The sequence below is a fragment of the Homo sapiens genome, chromosome 5 (genome assembly GCF_000001405.40).
Source record: "Homo sapiens chromosome 5, GRCh38.p14 Primary Assembly".
In the NCBI taxonomy this organism is placed as follows: domain Eukaryota; kingdom Metazoa; phylum Chordata; class Mammalia; order Primates; family Hominidae; genus Homo; species Homo sapiens.
The window spans coordinates 42,669,398-42,688,645 of NC_000005.10; the positions used below are offsets into that span (position 1 = coordinate 42,669,398).

The 19,248-nt window shown below is 37.3% G+C and overlaps 1 protein-coding gene across 11 annotated transcripts in view; it reads left to right on the forward strand.

Moving 5' to 3' along the window:
* GHR (growth hormone receptor) overlaps positions 1-19,248 on the forward strand; it is a 298,440-nt gene that overhangs the window by 245,959 nt on the left and 33,233 nt on the right. The window lies entirely within an intron of this gene.

Consider the following 19,248-nt stretch of genomic DNA (forward strand, 5'->3'; position numbering starts at 1 on the left):
CAAAGTTTCATTTGTCAGTTGGTTTCTTCTGGCAATAGAAGGCTCCCCTTAGACTTCATTAGCTTCAGATATTTCAGTGACAGAAATTTAATGTTGGCAAAGCATTGCTATACTTTCAGGCTTGGATTGGAATGCCCCACATTTACTTTTTCCTACCATTCCTGGCTAAAAACTTGAATGTGAGAACCAGACACAAGGCTCTAGTGGTAGCAAGCAGAATGTCTCCTAAGCTCCAAGGGGAAAAAATGATATAAGTCAGTGGTTCCCAAATTAACCATCAAATGCTACCCATTAAAATCACTGGGGAACTTTTAAAAATTAAATGCCCAACTAACAACAAACTGTATGAAAAAGAAATTTAGAAAACAATCCTATTTTTAAAAGCAGCAAAAAAGTAAAATACTTAGGAGTAAATTTAACCAAGGAAGGGAAATATCTGTTTACTGAAAACTATGAAATGTTGATGAAAGAAATTGAAGATGGTAAAAATAAATGAAAAGATAAATATGTATGGATTGGAAGAATTAATATTGTTAAGAGATCTATACTACCCAAAGCAATCTATAGATTCAATGCAATCCTATCAAAATTCCAAAGTCATTCTTTATAGCAGTAGAAAAAAATCATAAAATTCATATGGAACCACAAAAGACTCTGAATAGCCAAAGCAATCTTGACCAAAAAGAGCAATGCTGGAAGCATCACATTATCAGATTTCAAAATATATTACAAAGCTACAATATTCAAAATAGCATGCTACTGGCATTAAAACAGATCTATCAACTACTGAAACAGAATAGTGAGCCCAGAAATAAACCCACACATCTATGATCAATTGATTTTCAACAAAGATACCAAGAACACACAATGGGGAAAGACAGTGTCTTCAATAAATGGTGCTGAGAAAACTGGAAATCCACATGCTGAAGAATGAAATTAGATCCTTATCTCATCCCTTATACAAGAATCAACTCAAAATAGATTAAAGACTTAAACATAAGCCCTGAAACTATAAAACTAATGCAGAAAATATAGGGGGAAATCTACATGATATTAATCTAGGCAGAAGTTTCATGGATATGACCTCAAAAGCACAGACAACAAAAGCAAAAATAGACAAATGGCATTGCATCAGACTAAAAAACTTCTGTACAGCAGATGAAGCAACAAATAGAGTGAAGAGACAACCTACAGATTAGGAGAAAATATTTGCAAATCATATATTAGATAAGGGGTTAATATTCCAAAAGGTACAAGGAAATCAAACTACTCAATAACAAGAAAGCCAATTACCCTATTAAAATATAGGGATAGCATTGGGAGATACACCTAATGCTAGATGACGAGTTAGTGGGTGCAGTGCACCAGCATGGCACATGTATACATATGTAACTAACCTGCACAAGGTGCACATGTACCCTAAAACTTAAAGTATAATAATAATTTTTTTTAAAAAAAAGCAAAAATTAAAAAAAAAAAAAAAATATATATATATATATAGGCAACAAACTTAAATAGACATTTCTCAAAAGAAGCAAGTATCACCCTGATTTAAAACCTGGCAAAGACACAATGAGAAAACAAACTACAGGCCAACATCTCTGATGAACATAGACACAAAAATCCTTGACAAAATACTAGCAAACTGAATACAGCAGCACATCAAAAAGTTAATTTGCCATGATAAACTAGTGTGTTAGGGTGTTCTAGCATGCTATTAAAAAATACCCAAGACTGAGTAATTTATAAAGAACAAAGGCTTAATTTGTTCATGGTTCTGCAGCCTGTACAAGCATGGTGCCAGCACCTGGCCAGCTTCTGGGGAAGCCTCATGAAATTTTTATTCATGGCAGAAGGTGAAACAGGAACAGGCACATCACACAGGGGAAGCAGGAGTAAGAGAGAGTGTGAGGGAGGTGCCACACACTTAAACAATCAGGTCTCACAAGTACTCACTCACTACTGCAAGGACAGCACCAAGCCATAAGGGCCCACCCCCATGATTCAAACACCTCCCACCAAGACCCACCTCCAACATTGGGCATTATATGTCAACATGAGATTTGAACAGATACAAATATTCAAACTATATCAAGTAGGCTTCCTTCTTGGGATTCAAGGTTGGTTCAACATACACAGATCAATAAATCTGACTCACCACATAAACAGAATTATAAACAAAAACCACATGATTTCAATAGGTGTGGGAAAAGCTTTTGATAAAATCCAACCTCCCTTCATGTTAAAAAAAAAAAAAAAAACCTTAAGAAACTAGGCGGCCGGGCGCGGTGGCTCACACCTGTAATCCCAGCACTTTGGGAGGCCGAGGTGGGCGGATCACGAGGTCAGGAGATCGAGACCATCCCGGCTAAAACGGTGAAACCCAGTCTCTACTAAAAATACAAAAAATTAGCCGGGCGTAGGGGCGGGCGCCTGTAGTCCCAGCTACTTGGGAGGCTGAGGCAGGAGAATGGCGTGAACCCGGGAGGCGGAGCTTGCAGTGAGCCGAGATCCCGCCACTGCACTCCAGCCTGGGCGACAGAGCAAGACTCCGTCTCAAAAAAAAAAAAAAAAAGAAACTAGGCATTGAAGGAATATTTCTCAAAATAGTAAGAGCCATCTGTGACAAACCCACAACAACATAATAATAAATGGGCAAAAACTGGAAGCGTTCCCCTTGAAGACAAGAAAAGGATGCCTTTTCTCACCTGTTGTATTCATGACAGTACTTGAAGTGCTAGCCAGAGCAATCAGGTAAAAGAAAGAAATAAAAGACATCAAAATAGAAAAAGAAGAAATCAAACTACCTCTCTTTACTGACTATATAATTCTATGCCTAGAAAAACCTAAAGGCTCCACCAAAAAAGCTCTTGGAACTGATAAACAACTTCAGTAAAGTTTCTGGATACAAAATCAATGTGCAAAAATCAGTAGCATTTCTATACAGCAATAGTGTTCACATTGAGAGCCAAACCAAGAATGTAATCCCATTTACAGTAGCCACAAAAGAAATAAAGTACAACTAGGGATACATCTAACCAAGGAGATGAAAGATCTCATAATGCTGCACAAGTACAGCCATTTAATCTTCAACAAAGATGACAAAATTAGCAATGGGGAAAGGACTCTCTAGTCAGTAAATGGTACTGGGATAAATGTAAATGTCAGTAAATGGCTAGTCAGTAAGTGATACTGACTAGCTATATGTAGAAGAATGAAACTGGACCCCTACCTTTCACCATATACAAAAATTAACTCAGGATGGATTAATTATTCAAATGTAATATCTCAAACTATAAGAATGTAATATTCAAATATATCTCAAATGATATACAAACTATAAGATATATATTATATCTCAAGCTATATACAAACTATAAGAATGTAATATTCAAATGTAATATCTCAAACTATAAGAATCCTATAAGAAAACCTAGGAAACACCATTCTGGACATCAGCCTTGGAAAAGAATTTATGACTGAGTTCTCAAAAGCAATTTCAACAAAAACAAAAACTGACAAGTTTTTCTGTGTAGAAGCTCTTAGTTTAAGAAAAAGAAACCAGCAACAGAGTAAACAGCCTACAGAATGGGTGAAAATCTTCACAAACTGTGCTTCCAACCAAGATCTAATATCTGGCGTCTGTTAGGAACTTAAACAATTGAGCAAACAAAAAACAACCCCATTTAAAAATGGGCAAGCAGCATGAACAGACAGTTCTCAAAAGAAGGCATATAAACAGCTAACAAACATGAAAAAATGTCTCACATCACTAATCATCAGAGAAATGCAAATCAAAACCACAATAATATGCTATATCACACCAGTCAGAATAGCTATTATCAAAAAGTCAAAAACAACAGACGCTGGCAAGGCTGCAGAAAAAAAAGTGAACGCTCATACACGGTTGCTGGGAATGTAAGTTAGTTCAGCCACTGTGAAAAGCAGTTTGGAGATTTCTCAAAGAACTTGAAACAGAGTTACCATTCAACCCAGCAATCCCACTGGGTATATATCCAAAAGAAAGTACATTGTTTCTTTTGGATATTGTTCTACCCAAAAGACACATACACTCACATGTTCATTACAACACTGTTCGCAATAGCAAAGACATGGAATCAACCTAGGTGCCCAACAAAGGTGGATTGGATTAAAAAATGTGGTACATGTCCACCATGGGATACTACACAGCAATAAAAAAGAATGAAATCATGTCCTTTGCAGCAACATGGATGCAGCTGGAGGCCATTATACTAAGTGAGGTAATACAGGAACAGAAAACCAAATACTGCATGTTTTTACTTATAAGTGGGAGCTAAACATTGGGTAAACATGGATATAAAGGTGGCAACAATAGAAACTGGGGACTAACAGAGTAGGGAGGTAGGGAGCAGAGAGAGGACTAAAAAACTATTAGGTACTATGCTCATTCCCTGGGTGATGGGATCAATCATACCCCAAACCTCAGCATCGTGTGATATACCCAGGTAACAAACCTGCACATTTGTTCCCTGAATCTAAAATAAAAGTTGAAATTACAATTTTTAAAAGGATAGAAACTAGTCATCAGCGTGTTTTTTAATTTTCCAGGTGACTCTAACATTCAATAATTATTTTAAATAATTATTTCTGTCTGTAGACCTTCTGCCAGCTACTAAGTTTCAGGAATTTTGATGGTCTCATTAAAGAGAACCTGACAACCCCACTTACAAGTGCTTCAGCTAAGTTTCATTTATAATATTTTCATATTGCCAAGGATCCAGTAGTGTCTTTTTTACAGTGAGTTACAAATTCCTGTTTTTGTGACAGTGACAGGCCAAAATTAATGAGCTGTGATTTTTAAACTGAAAAAGTGACTGTCCAATAGAGGCTAAAAAGAAAACTAAAATTATATTTTGTCAATTTTAGTGTTAAGTGTGATTTTTTGCTTTGTATGTTTTAGATAGTTTTTTTATTGAGATAAAACCCAAATAGCATAAAATCCACCTTTTTAATCTCAAAGTGGTTTTTGGTATATTCACAATGTTGTGCAACAATCACTACTATCTAACTCTAGAACATTTTCATTACTTCCTCATGGAACCCTGTACCCATTAGTAGTCACTCCCAGTTTCCCATTCACCTCATTTCCTGGCAACCACTAATCTACTTTTCTGTCTCTCTGTATGTGACTATTCTTAACATTTCATGTAAATCAGATACTATAATATGTGGCCTTTTATGTCTGACTTCTATCACATAGCAACATATTTTCAAGGTCATTCGTGTTGTAGCATGTATCAGTATTTTATTCCTTTTTAAGACAATACTTTATTATAGGATTATACCACATCTTTTTTATCCACTCATCAGTTGATGGACCTTTGAGTTGTTTCTACTTTTCTGTTATTTTAAATAATGCTGTTATGAGCATTCTTGCACATGTTTTTGTGTGATCATATGTGTTTGCTTCTCTGGGCATATACCTAGGAGCAGAATTGCAGGGTCATATGGTAACTCTGTATTTAACATTTTGAGGAACCCCCAAATTGCTTTCCCCAGTAGCTATACCATTTTACATTCTGAACAGAAGTGTGTGAGGGTTTCTATTACTTCACATCCTCTTGCTTTCTATTTTAATTATTTAATTATTTAATTTAATTATCTAAGATGCCTTTTACCCTAACCAACCAGAAAATAAACTTGACTGAATTTAGTGCTAATTGTTTTTGCATAGTCATTCAGTATAATTGTCTTTGACATCTCAAAACACTGCTTATGCAGAATACACTTTTTTAAAACAGTGAAATCATAGCAATTCTATTTCCTAAGTCAGTTCTTCTTCAGGGTAGTAAGTTATAGGTCTTTGAGGTCATGTTCCTGTTTCCATCTTCCAAAAGGCAACATTATTAAAATCTTGTTGCTGTATCTGCCTTGGCATATCCCCCTCTCTATCCAGAGAAAAGATCACTGACAGAATAGTGTCCCCACCTTTCTATCTTAGAGGTCTCATTACGAGTCAGTATGCTTTTAAAAGAATTAATGGATAAAGAGCTAGACATCAAGAAGAAGAGAGAAAATTTTAAATAAGACAGAGGAGTGTATGATCACTCTTTCTAAGATGATTAAATGAAATAATTTGAAAGGCAATAAACTAACTGCACCAAGTAAATCTTGTGAAAGCGAAAGGAAAGAGGAGAAGGAAGATTTGAGTGCTGAAAACCAGGATAAATTGTATTCAACCACCAGCATTAAGGGAAGTTATACAATACATTTTATGAAGAAAGTGTTCCATGAAAATAAAACAACAAAAAGAAAGTTTGGTGAAGGTTTAAATGATAAATGCCAATAGTAGTATATGTGCAATTATCTACTGACACTGCTATACAAATGAGCTATCTATATAGGCTGTGACCACATAACCTCACCTGCCAAACCACAGTACTATAAATAAATACTTTTCCCAGACACTACAGAGCTCAGTTGACTTGAGATTCATCTTATGGTAACTGGAAATGTAGACTGTGCCTTTATTTGGGTCAATCCTACAATTTTCTTTAATGTACCAGCAATTCATTATTTAAAGTTTACTAGAGTTTAATTTAAAATTATAAAAAAGGAAGAAATTGGCTGGGTATGGTGGCTCACGCCTGTAATCCCAGCACTTTGGGAGGCCAAGGCGGGAAGATCATGAGGTCAGGAGATCGAGACCCTCCTGGCCAAAATGGTGAAACCCAGTCTCTACTAAAAATACAAAAATTACCTGGGCATGGTGGCACACGCCTGTAGTCCCAGCTACTCAGGAGGCTGAGGCAGGAGAATCGCTTGAACCTGGGAGGCGGAGGTTGCAGTGAGCCAAGATCTCACCACTGCACTCCAACTTGGTGACAGAGCGAGACTCCATATAAAAAAAAAAGGAAGAAATTAATAGTTCAGGTGAGAACTTGTGAATTTTTATTCTCAACTCTAAGCTAGTAAGTGCTTAAATAGAAGACTTTACAACGAGCTGTACCTTCTTAATTCTACAGAGAATCATGAGGAAAATCAAATATAAATGTGAATTTCTTATGTTCAGTATTGTCCAAAAAGAAAATATTTTATTAAATTTTTTGTCAGTTGCCATCATTATTTAAAGCCTTCCTGCCAGTAGCCTATACTATTTTTGGAATGGAGTGTTTGCAGTTTCATAACCACTTGATAACACCATAGGTTAAAAAAAAAGTCTACCAGTCTTTTTCAGATGGCCTCTTTGACAATGCATTATTTATAGGGAAGTTCAGTTACTTTTAACAATAAAGACAAGCCAAAAGAAATTACAGATCTCTTTTACCATATTTTGATATACTAGCAGCATCCACTCAGGACAGGACCTTTATTAAAAGGGGGCTTAAGGTACTTTTAATTGGAGGAATTACTGAATTCCTGAAGCTCTTCAAACAAAATAGCACTTGGGATATGACAAGAGTACTTTGGAGAAGGCTGCTTGGTCCCAAAGCAGAGATTCAAGAGGAGGACTCCAGCTAGCTGGGTAAGGGGTTCCTTCCTCTCAACCTAAGTGTTTATGTAAGCCTGCTGGGGGCCAGGAACTGCGTAAAACTCAGTAAGCTCAGTACTTCTCAGCACAGAATCCAGTCCCAAGGAAGCACCCAGCAAAAATTTAGGTTGAATTTTCTTTAAAATAAAATAAAGAAAAAAGTAAAATTAAAAAAAAAATACAATTCAACTACTCAGCCCATTCCATTCCGGGTAGTTTTGGCTCAGAATGCTGGAAGAGTTGGATAGGCTATTAGTGAGAGAACTCAAAACTCCCCAAACTCCACTTCATTACTCTTCCTTTATATTTTTTCTGAAAAGAGTATTGCCAATATATCAATAAAGCTTTTTGCTATGACTTCAGAGTGCCCAGGTCACTAGGGAAAAGTATCAAGTAGCATCCTGAATCCACAAATCCTTTGAGAGCCAGCCACACAGTATCTGCGTGAGTGTGGTAATTCTCTACCCTTACGAGTGTCATCACAGAATTGCAGCATTCTCTTTTCATTGTTTCTCAGGAAAACATAGACAAAGGCTCTGCTTGGATTTTTTTAATTTAACACTAATATGTAATAATATAGCAACATCTCCTAGTTATCTAGAACTCAGGCTTTGATAGCTGTGACTGTCTAGAATACAACCACAGAAAATCACCTCTGAACAGTGAGGGAAATAGCTGCCACAGTATCACCACCTACTCCAAGCTTGAACCTCTCAACCCGCAACCAACAGACTGCAAGTAGTTCAGTACAGCTTTGAATGCAGCCCAAGACAAACTCGTAAACCTTCTTAAAACATTATGAAATTTTTTTGCAACTTGTTCATCAGCTATCGTTAGTGTTAGTATATTTTTTGTGTTGCTCAAGACAAGTCTCTTCTTCCAGTGTAGCCCAGGAAAGCCAAAAGATTGGACACCTATACTTTGGATGTTTCATCTAGTACCGATATACTTATAATTACATGTTTCAACTAGTACTAATGAACTTATAGTTACAGGATGAAATTTCAAATTAGCAATGTTCATCATTTGCTCTTCCTAGGTAACAACAGTTAACAAATCATAGGTTGACAATCACAACTGATTGTGAGGATGGAAATAATAACAATGAGCATTTATATAATGCTTACTCTATACCAGGCACTTTTCTAAGAACTTTACATAGATTAGCTCACTTAATCTTTACAATAACCCTGTGACATACCATTATTATCCCCATTTTACAGGTGAGGAAACTGAAGAAGTTAAGTAATTTGCCCAAGATTACAGATTGTATGTGATTGAGGTAGGATTTGAACTCAGCAGTCTGGCACCAAAATCAGCACTCTCAGCCTCTACCCAGTATTATCAAAAGTAATTTCCTGGTAGCTTCTTTCAATTGTCATGGCAACTCTCAAGATAAAGAATTATTGTTTTTAATAAATAATGTCATTCCCAGAAATGAATTATGTGTGAATCATACTAAGCTGCAGTGAGAGAATGAATATCACCATCACAGTGGTGAATCTACTTAGTGTAGGGGTAAAAGGCCAGTCTCTCCCAGCAGCCCTGCACATAGGTACACCGTAATTCACTAGGATAATCCCTGATCGCCATGCTGTCATAAAAAAACGTTAAATGATGTTTAACAGGTTTCATTAATGATTCAGAGAATCTTATAATATGTCTTAGGAAAAATAATTTCAGGAGTAACTTTCAGTTAGCTAGACAATACAGTTCTGTTGAGCATCTCATAATCTATGCCAGACAAAGGAAACATTCTTGCCTTTCTTTGAGGGAATTATAGACCAACAATTTTATTAATTTTCAACTTTCATCGAGGCAAGATTAGCTTCATGAACAATGTTTCTCAAACTGAAAGTAGTGACCTGTATTAGTAAATCAATTTATAGGGTTGCAAGCAGCATCATTTATAAACTGAAATCAGAATTCATTGCAGGCAGTAATTTTGAGACATTTTATTTTACATGTGCGTGTGTATATCTATCATATAAATAAGTATGTGAGAACATTTTAAAACATTTAAAATATATTTATATATCTAAAGTTTAAATGTAAATATATATTTATATTAATAATATAATTAATATGAATTAATAACATATTAATTCATATTAACTTATATTAATTTATATTAACAATATGTAAACAATATATTAATTAGTAATATATTATACTAATATTAGTATGTATTAATATATTATTATAATATATTATATATTAATTAATATATTATATATTGTATATTATATATTAATTAATATATTATATATTGTATATTATATATTAATAACATACTATTATTAATATTTTAAATATATTTTAATATACTTAAATTTATACTTAAAATTTACATATACATATAAATAATTTTCCTGAAAGTCACTTTCAAAAACTTTGAAAGCCACCAGTGCAGTGGTTAAGAATACAAATTTTGGGCTGGGCATGGTGGCTCACACCTGTAATCCCAACACTTTGGGAGGCCGAGGTGGGTGGATCCCGAGGTCAAGAGATTGAGACCATCCTGGCCAACATGGTGAAACATTGTCTCTACTAAAAATATAAAAATTAGCTGGGCACGGTGGCACGCACCTGTAGTCCCAGCTATGCAGGAGGCTGAGGCAGGAGAATCACTTGAACCCAGGAGGTGGAGGTTGCAGTGAGCCGAGATCATGGCACTGCATTCCAGCCTGGCGACAGAGCGAGACTGCATCTCAAAAAAAAAAAAAGAATACAAATTCTGAAGCACAGCTGTTGAGTTGGAATCATGGCTGTGCCACTTAATAACCAAGTGACTTTGGGCCAGTTATTTTACTTCTCTATGCCTCAGTGTCATCTATTCAGTAGTGAGAATAATAGTACCTAACTCATTCTAGTTTTGAGAATGAACACTTTTTATATTACATATAAAATGTGTAGGACAGAGACCCCAAAGAAGCCGTAGTTGCTGTCATATTGTTATTCTGTTCCTGCTTAAGAAGGGGACTTGGAAAAATAATGATGTTGAATGCAGTAACTTCTTTCACTCATGGAAGAATTACATATTCACATCTTCTTTGCTCATCAAACCTTTGAAGATCATGCATGTCTCATTCTGTAACATCGCCTTAACCAAATATAAAGGCTAAATACAAAGGTGTTTTTAAATAACTGATACATTTAGGCCAGTCACACAAAGATTTTACCCAAAGCCTATGCAGGCATAGTCCAAGAAGTAGACTTGTTCTACTGCAATCACCATCTCTTGTTTATTATTTGTGAAAGGAACATTATGGTTTCACCACAGTTGGCCTGGCCAACGTGCTTATGCAGTCCTCAGAACATATGAAAGTGATTTCGGCTGACAATAAGTATTTCCTCACTTTGGCTTATGTTCAATAATAGCCATTCTTTATCCAGATCAGGGTGACTGAGCATGCTGTAACCATTCTTCTCTTCTAAAACTGACCCTTGTTTGACTGCATATGCAGATTGCTTAGCAGAACCCATATCCACCATAACGGGCCAAAAGTCATTTGATCCAATGTGCTTTTCTTTTTTTTTCTTTTTTTTTTAATTCCATGAAATTTTATTAAGATAAATTAATTATAAACATTGCAAAACACTTTTTTTTTTAGACAGAGTCTCACTATGTCACCCAGGCTGGGGTGCAGTGACACGATCTCAGCTCACTGCAACTTCCGACTCCCAGGTTCAAGTGATTCTTGTGCCTCAGCCTCTCTGAGTAGCTGGGATTACAGGTATGCCCCACCAGACCTGGCTAATTTTTGTATTTTTAGTAGAGACGGAGTTTCACTATGTTGGACAGGCTGGCCTCGAACTCCTGGCCTCAGGTAATCCACCCGCCTCAGCCTCCCAAAGTGCTGGAATTACAGGTGTGAGCCACTGCTCCCAGCCCCAAACATGATTTTTTGATTGAATGCTTAATGTCTTTCTATTATTATTATTTTTTTTTATTATACTTTGTTCTGGCATGCATGTGCACAACGTGCAGATTTGTTACATAGGCATACATGTGCCATGTTGGTTTGCTGCACCCATTAAAAATTAATTCAAGATGGATTAAAGACTTAAATGTTAGGCCTAAAACCATAAAAACCCTAGAAGAAAACCTAGGCAATACCATTCAGGAAATAGGCATGGGCAAAGACTTCATGACTAAAACACCAAAAACAATGGCAACAAAAGCCAAAATTGGCAAATGGGATCTAATTAAACTAAAGAGCTTCTGCACAGCAAAAGAAACTACCAGCAGAGTGAACAGGCAACCTACAGAATGGGAGAAAATTTTTGCAATCCGCCCATCTGACAAAGGGCTAATATCCAGAATCTACAAAGAACTTCAATAAATTTACAAGAAAAAAAAAAAACCATCAAAAAGTGGGCAAAGGATATAAACAGACACTTCTCAAAAGAAGACATTTATGCAGCCAACAGACACATGAAAAAATGCTCATCATCACTGGTCATCAGAGAAATGCAAATCAAAACCACAATGAGATACCATTTCACACCAGTTAGAATGGCGATCGTTAAAAAGTCAGGAAACAACAGATGCTGGAGAGGATGTGGAGAAATAGGAACGCTTTTACACTGTTGGTGGGAGTGTAAATTAGTTCAACCATTGTGGAAGACAGTGTGGCAATTCCTCAAGGATCTAGAACTAGAAATACCATATGACCCAGTGATCCCATTACTGGGTATATACCCAAAGGATTATAAATCATGCTACTATAAATACACATGCGGCCGGGCGTGGTGGCTCATGCCTGTAATCCCAGCACTTTGGGAGGCTGAGGCAGGCAGATCACAAGTTCAGGAGATCGAGACCATCCTGGCTAACATGGTGAAACCCCATCTCTACTAAAAATACAAAAAATTAGGCAGGCGCAGTGGCGGGCGCCTGTAGTCCCAGCTACTCGGGAGGCTGAGGCAGGAGAATGGCATGAACCCGGGAGGCGGAGCTTGCAGTGAGCCGAGATAGCGCCACTGCAGTCCAGCCTGGGCAAAAGGGCAAGACTCCGTCTCAAAAAAAAAAAAAAAAAAAAAGACATATGCACACGTACGTTTACTGCAGCACTATTCACAATAGCAAAGACTTGGAACCAACCCAAATGTCCATCAGTGATAGACTGGATAAAGAAAGTGTGGCACATATACACCATGGAATACTATGCAGCCATAAAAAAGGATGAGTTCACGTCCTTTGCAGGGACATGGATGAAGCTGGAAACCATCATTCTCAGCAAACGATCACAAGAGCAGAAAACCAAACACCACATGTGTGTTCCAACTTAACTCATTGTTCTTAGTGATAATTCACTTAGGGGCAAAGTTAGGCTCTCTTGTTAATTGCAACATTCCTTTCAGAGGTGCTATAAATGGATGTTGAACTATACTATTTTTAGATTTAATCTTTAAAAATCATAAGAAAGCAAGAAATATTACTAGTTCAGAAATGATTTTCTGTTCCTGGCTAATCAGAGAAGACCTAAGAGTCTATAGTAGTCATTTGTTGTCTTCGTAGTAAAAGTAAGATTCTAATAGGATTTTTAGACATAGTGAGAAAGGTGTTCATTTTAAGATTATGGTAGTTCCTCTCAGATTTAGAAAGCCTTAAGATGACACTAAGGAGTTGGACTTTAGGAATGCTGAGTGTCTTCAGCCACAGCGGCACAATGGTACTAGATGTGACAGGATGTGATTAAGGAGAAACTAAACGGCCAGGCACAATATAGTTCTTCTTGCCTCCAAAAGAGGAGTCACCCACTTTCTCACACTCACTGTGATACATTCCATTTGCTAAGAAAAGTGGCTTGTGTCATTCTTGAGCACTACTTTTAAGTTCTGATATATTAAATTCATTTACTCTGTATTAATAGCATTCAAATATTTAGTAAAGTTAATATACCTCTCACACTTTTTCCAAAGTAACCCACCAGCTGTGTCCTGTGCTTCAAGCTATCTTATAAGACTGCAATCAAAGTGTCAGCCAGGGCTGTGGTCTCATCTGAAGGCTGGATAGGGAAAGATTGGTTCCCATGCTTATTTACATTGTTGTTGGCAGGATTCAGTTCCTCAAAGGTTTTTTTTATTTTTATATATTTTTTTTTGAGATGGAGTCTTGCTCCATCACCAGACTGGAGTGCAGTGGCGCAATCTTGGCTCACTGCAAACTCCGCTTCCCAGGTTCAAGCAATTCTCCTGCCTCAGCCTCCCAGGTAGCTGGGATTACAGGTGCATGCCACCATGCCCAGCTAATTTTTCTATTTTTAGTAGAGATGGGATTTCACCATGTTGGTCAGGCTGGTCTCGATCTCGTGACCTCATGATCCACCTACCTCAGCCTCCCAAAGTGCTGGGATTACAGGCATGAGCCACCGCGCCCAGCCAGTTCCTCAAGGGTTTTTATACTGAGGGCCTCTACTTCTTGCTGAGTGTTGGCCAGAGGCCATGCTTAGTTCTCTGCTGTATGGTTCTCACCACACAGCAACGTACTTCATCAAAACCAGCAAAAGGGTGAGTCTGCTAGTTAAAAAGAAGTCTCAATCTTTTGTAACCTAATCATAGAACTGCCATCCACTCCATGCTGCCATATTCTTCTGATTAGAAGCAAGTTACTCAAGGGAAGGAAATACATAAGGCTGTGAATGAGAGAAGACAGGAATCATTGGAGGCTACTTTAGGGGCTGTCTGCCACAGCACTTAACAGCACATACCCAGCCATAAAATTTAAAAAAGCCGGAAAGAGAGAAGGAGGGTGCAGGGTAAAATAAAGAAAAGAGGAAGGTGGAAGGGAAGAAAGGAAGGGAAAGAAAGACATTTAAAAAGACAAGAACAAAACAGCTCTGCTGCACAACATCTGTATCGGAGTTCCATGTGCAGACACACACGTCATCACATCAGCACCACACCCATAAATTTCCTATTTCTTATTTACAATGAGAAGGTAATAAGGACTTTCTATGCATCTGGAGTTAAAAGGAAACAATAAATCTAAGAATACTAAGTTTAAGTAATCAAAATGTGTTTCAGATTAGTTATTTTTTCTTTTTAAGTTTTTTTTTTTGTTTCAGCTGACAAAGTTTTTTATTTCTTTCTGTTTCAAGTTTTGAAGTTGAGTTTATTATTCTTGCTATTATGTAACAGGCATATTTTACAGAGAATATAGGAACCTGATTGACATTTGTATTTGGTGTTCTATTGTTGTTTCAATTCAAATGCCAAAATTATGTTTTTGTTGTGTACGTTATTGTTCATAATTATATATGCCTCTTAATTGTAAAAGCGAAGCTGTAAAATTGTAAAGTACTTTGTGTCTCATCTATTCCAGGCATTCTACTAAGGAAATCAAGACCAAATGGCTTGGGAAGGTCAACGTTAAATAGTGTCAGAGCCAGAACTAGAGTACACATCTCTCAATTTCTAATCTAGTGCATTTCCTTTTCTTATTTCTGTGCAAACGAACAGTTAGAATGTGAAATAGTCTCCTCAGATATACCAGCATTAAAACAGTTGTGGTTTAAATATTTAGTTTTAATAATTACTAACTTTGTAGAAGGACCTAAAATAGTGTTTGTTTTCAGTGCTTCAACTAATAGTAAAAAGGAATATTTTCAGTGCTTTACTGTATGAGAGGTGCTTGCCTAACGAAATACACATCTTTTTCACTGTACTCATTTGTAACAGATAATGTGGGCTCGTACACCTCAGTGTTCTGAGAGGGGTTGGTAAACACTGACCACATAGAGAGAGCTGCCCATCTGCCCTCAGTACCAAGGCACATCCCATCCATGCCCTAAAACTCTTGTAAATTTCTCCATTCATACAGGAAAATGAGTATTTCTTACAACAATATGACCGTGGAATTTGATTACAAAAACACTCCTGCTATCCCCAACCTGTGCTCCCAGGGCTAAAGACATATTTGCAACTCAGGATTTTCTGAAGATTCACTTGTTTGTACTATTGAGGGCAACAGTTGTTCTCAAACAAGGATGCAGTTCCTTTCTTCTTACCCTGCTTATTTTTCTTTTTATTATTATTATTATTATACTTTAAGTTCTGGGGTACATGTGCAGAACGTGCAGGTTTGTTACATAGGTATACATGTGCCATGGTGGTTTGCTGCACCCACCAACCCGTCATCTATATTAGGTATTTCTCCTAATGTTATCCCTCCCCCAGCCCCACAGCCCTCAACAGGCCCCAGTGTGTAAAGTTCCCCTCCCTGTGTATGTGTGTTCTCATTGTTCAACTCCCACTTATAAGTGAGAACATGTGGTGTTTGGTTTTCTGTTCTTGTGTTAGTTTGCTGAGGATGATGGTTTGCAGCTTCATCCATGTCCCTGCAAAGAACATGAACTCATCCTTTTTTATGGCTGAGTAGTATTCCATGGTGCATATATGCAACATTTTCTTTAACCAGTCTATCACTGATGGGCATTTGGGTTGGTTCCAAGTCCTTGCTATTGTGAACAGTGCTGCAATAAACATACATGTGCAAGTGTCTTTATAGTAGAATGATTTATAATCCTTTGGGTATATACCCAGTGATGGGATTGCTGGGTCAAATGGTATTTCTAGTTCTAGATCCTTGAGGAATTGCCACACTGTCTTCCACAATGGTTGAACTAATTTACACTCCCACCAACAGTGTAAAAGCGTTCCTATTTCTCCACATCCTCTCCAGCATCTGTTTTTTCCTGACTTTTTAATGATCGCCATTCTAACTGGTGTGAAATGGTATCTCATTGTGGTTTTGATTTGCATTTCTCTGATGACCGGTGATGACGAGCATTTTTTCATGTGTCTGTTGGCTGCATAAATGTCTTCTTTTGAGAAGTGTCTGTTTATATCCTTTGCCCACTTTTTGATGGGGTTGTTTTTTTTCTTGTAAATTTATTGAAGTTCTTTGTAGATTCTGGATATTAGCCCTTTGTCAGATGGGCAGATTGCAAAAATATTCCCCCATTCTGTAGGTTGCCTGTTCACTCTGCTGGTAGTTTCTTTTGCTGTGCAGAAGCTCTTTAGTTTAATTAGATCCCATTTGTCAATTTTGGCTTTTGTTGCTATTGCTTTTGGTGTCTTAGTCATGAAGTCTTTGCTCATGCCTATTTCCTGAATGGTATTGCCTAGGTTTTCTTCTAGGGTTTTTATGGTTTTGGGTCTTACGTTTAAGTCTTTAATCCATCTTGAGTTAATTTTTGTATAAGATGAAAGGAAGGGATCCAGCTTCAGCTTTCTGCGTATGGCTAGCCAGTTTTCCCAACACCATTTATTAAACAGGGAATCCTTTCCCCATTGCTTGTTTTTGTCAGGTTTGTCAAAGATCAAATGGTTGTGGATGTGTGGTGTTATTTCTGAGGCCTCTGTTCTGTTCCATTGGTCTATATATCTTATTTGGTACCAGTACCATGCTGTCTTTGTTACTGTAGCCTTGTAGTATGAAGTCAGAGACACAATAAAAAAAGAAAATTTTAGACCAATATCCCTGATGAACACTGATGCAAAAATCCTCAATAAAATACTGGCAAACCTAATCCAGCAGCACATCAAAAAGCTTATCCACCCCGATCAAGTCGGCTTCATCCCTGGAATGCAAGGCTGGTTCAACATACACAAATCAATAAACGTAATCCATCACAGAAACAGAACCAGTGACAAAACCACATGATTATCTCAATAGATGCAGAAAAAGCCTTCGACAAAATTCAACAGCCTTTCATGCTAAAAACTCTCAATTAACTAGGTATTCATGGAATGTATCTCAAAATAATAAGAGCTATTTTTGACAAACCCACAGCCAATATCATACTGAATGGGCAAAAGCTAGAAGCATTCCCTTTGAAAACCGGCATAAGAAAAGAATGCCCTCTCTCACCATTCCTTTTCAACATATTATTCAAAACTCTGGCGAGGGCAGTCAGGCAAGAGAAAGAAATAAAGGGTATTCAATTAGGAAAAGAGGAAATTCAATTGTCTCTGTTTGCAGATGACATGATTGTATATTTAGAAAACCCCATCGTCTCAGCCCAAAATCTCCTTAAGCTGATAAGCAACTTCAGCAAAGTCTCAGGATACGAAATCAAAGTGCAAAAATCACAAGCATTCCTATACACCAGTAACAGACAGAGAGCCAAATCACGAGCAAACTCCCATTCACAATTGCTACAAAGAGAATAAAATACCTAGGAATACAACTTACAAAGGATGTGAAGGACCTCTTCAAGGAGAACTACAAACCACTGCTCAAGGAAATAAGAGAGGACACAAACAAATGGAAAAACATCCTCATGGATAGGAAGAATCAATATCATGAAAATGGCCATATTGCCCAAAGTAATTTATAGATTCAATGCTATCCCCATCAAACTACCATTGACTTTCTTCACAGAATTGGAAAAAAACTACTTTAGATTTCATATGGAACCAAAAATGAGCCTGCATAGCCAAGATAATCGTAAGCAAAAAGAACAAAGCTGAAGGCATCACGCTACCTGACCCAGCTTATTTTTCTACATAGGATCCCCACATCCCTGCTTTTGCTAGAATGGAAACTAGACAAGGACCAACTTTTATCAACTTGTTCATTTCTCTATTCCTAGAACACAGCCTGGTACAAAATTTGCGTTTAATAATGTTTGTTGAATGAATTTGAATGATGGATTTGTTTAGAAGGTTTATAACATCCCATGCCTTATGAGTTTGTTGCCAGAGGAAAAAAGAAGCCTGTTTTTGGTTCATAACATCAGGTATGTAACCTGGAATTTGGAATCATGAGTTTTTATGCATTTGCTTCATATTATTTATTTTTAAGAGATCTTTCAAAGTATTGACAAAGATACTTTAAGATTGAGAGCCTCCCTGATAACCCAGGAATGAGAGTTTTAGATTAAGTTTACAATATGATTGAAGGCTAATCATATAAGGAGAAAAAAATAAGAAAAAGAAGAGAAATTTGAAAAGAAATCTCCAAAATGGCCATGGACATCAGAACACTGAGAATTCATACACAAAAATGTGTTTTGCTTCATACCTGTCTGTTGCACATCTATACATTTCATAGATGCAGAGGAATTTTGGCTAAATTCCTAACACATGAGAGGCATTCTGCACTTACTTCTCAAATTAGAATTAACACATGAGTATGTATAAGTTGTTTAGAGTGGGCATCTATTTAATGAGTTTACTGGCTGAATCTTTTAAAAGAATGCAAACATAAGTGCCTTTTATCAAAAATCAATGAAAAGATAAAAGGCCCTGTAGTGCATGCTGTGGTTCCCACACTACATCCCCCACATCCACCTGATGTCATCACAACTGTCTATGGTGTCCATTTGCCACTATGCACCCTGCCGGGCAGACTCAGGTGCCTGCCTCGGCAAAGACCCTCAGCTCATGTGCAGGTACAGCCTAGAAGTGCATGGGGGTGAACATCTCTGAGGCACCCTTCAACCAGTGAGTACTGGGAGCGGTAGATAAATATCCTAGCCTCTCATCTTTCTACACAACAGTGGTGGTGCATATTCTACACAGCTTCTCAAAGGAGCCTCAGAGGGATTGGGCCCCATTAGCCACTGTGATAACCAGCTCAGAACACACACATATTAGTTGTTCTCCCTTTCCTTCCCACCCTCCCCATTCCCTGACTGCTAGATCCAGAAGTCATCTTCCAGATGAACTACCTATATCCAAATCCTAATCTCTAGCTCTGGTTTCTTAAACAGGTCCTATGA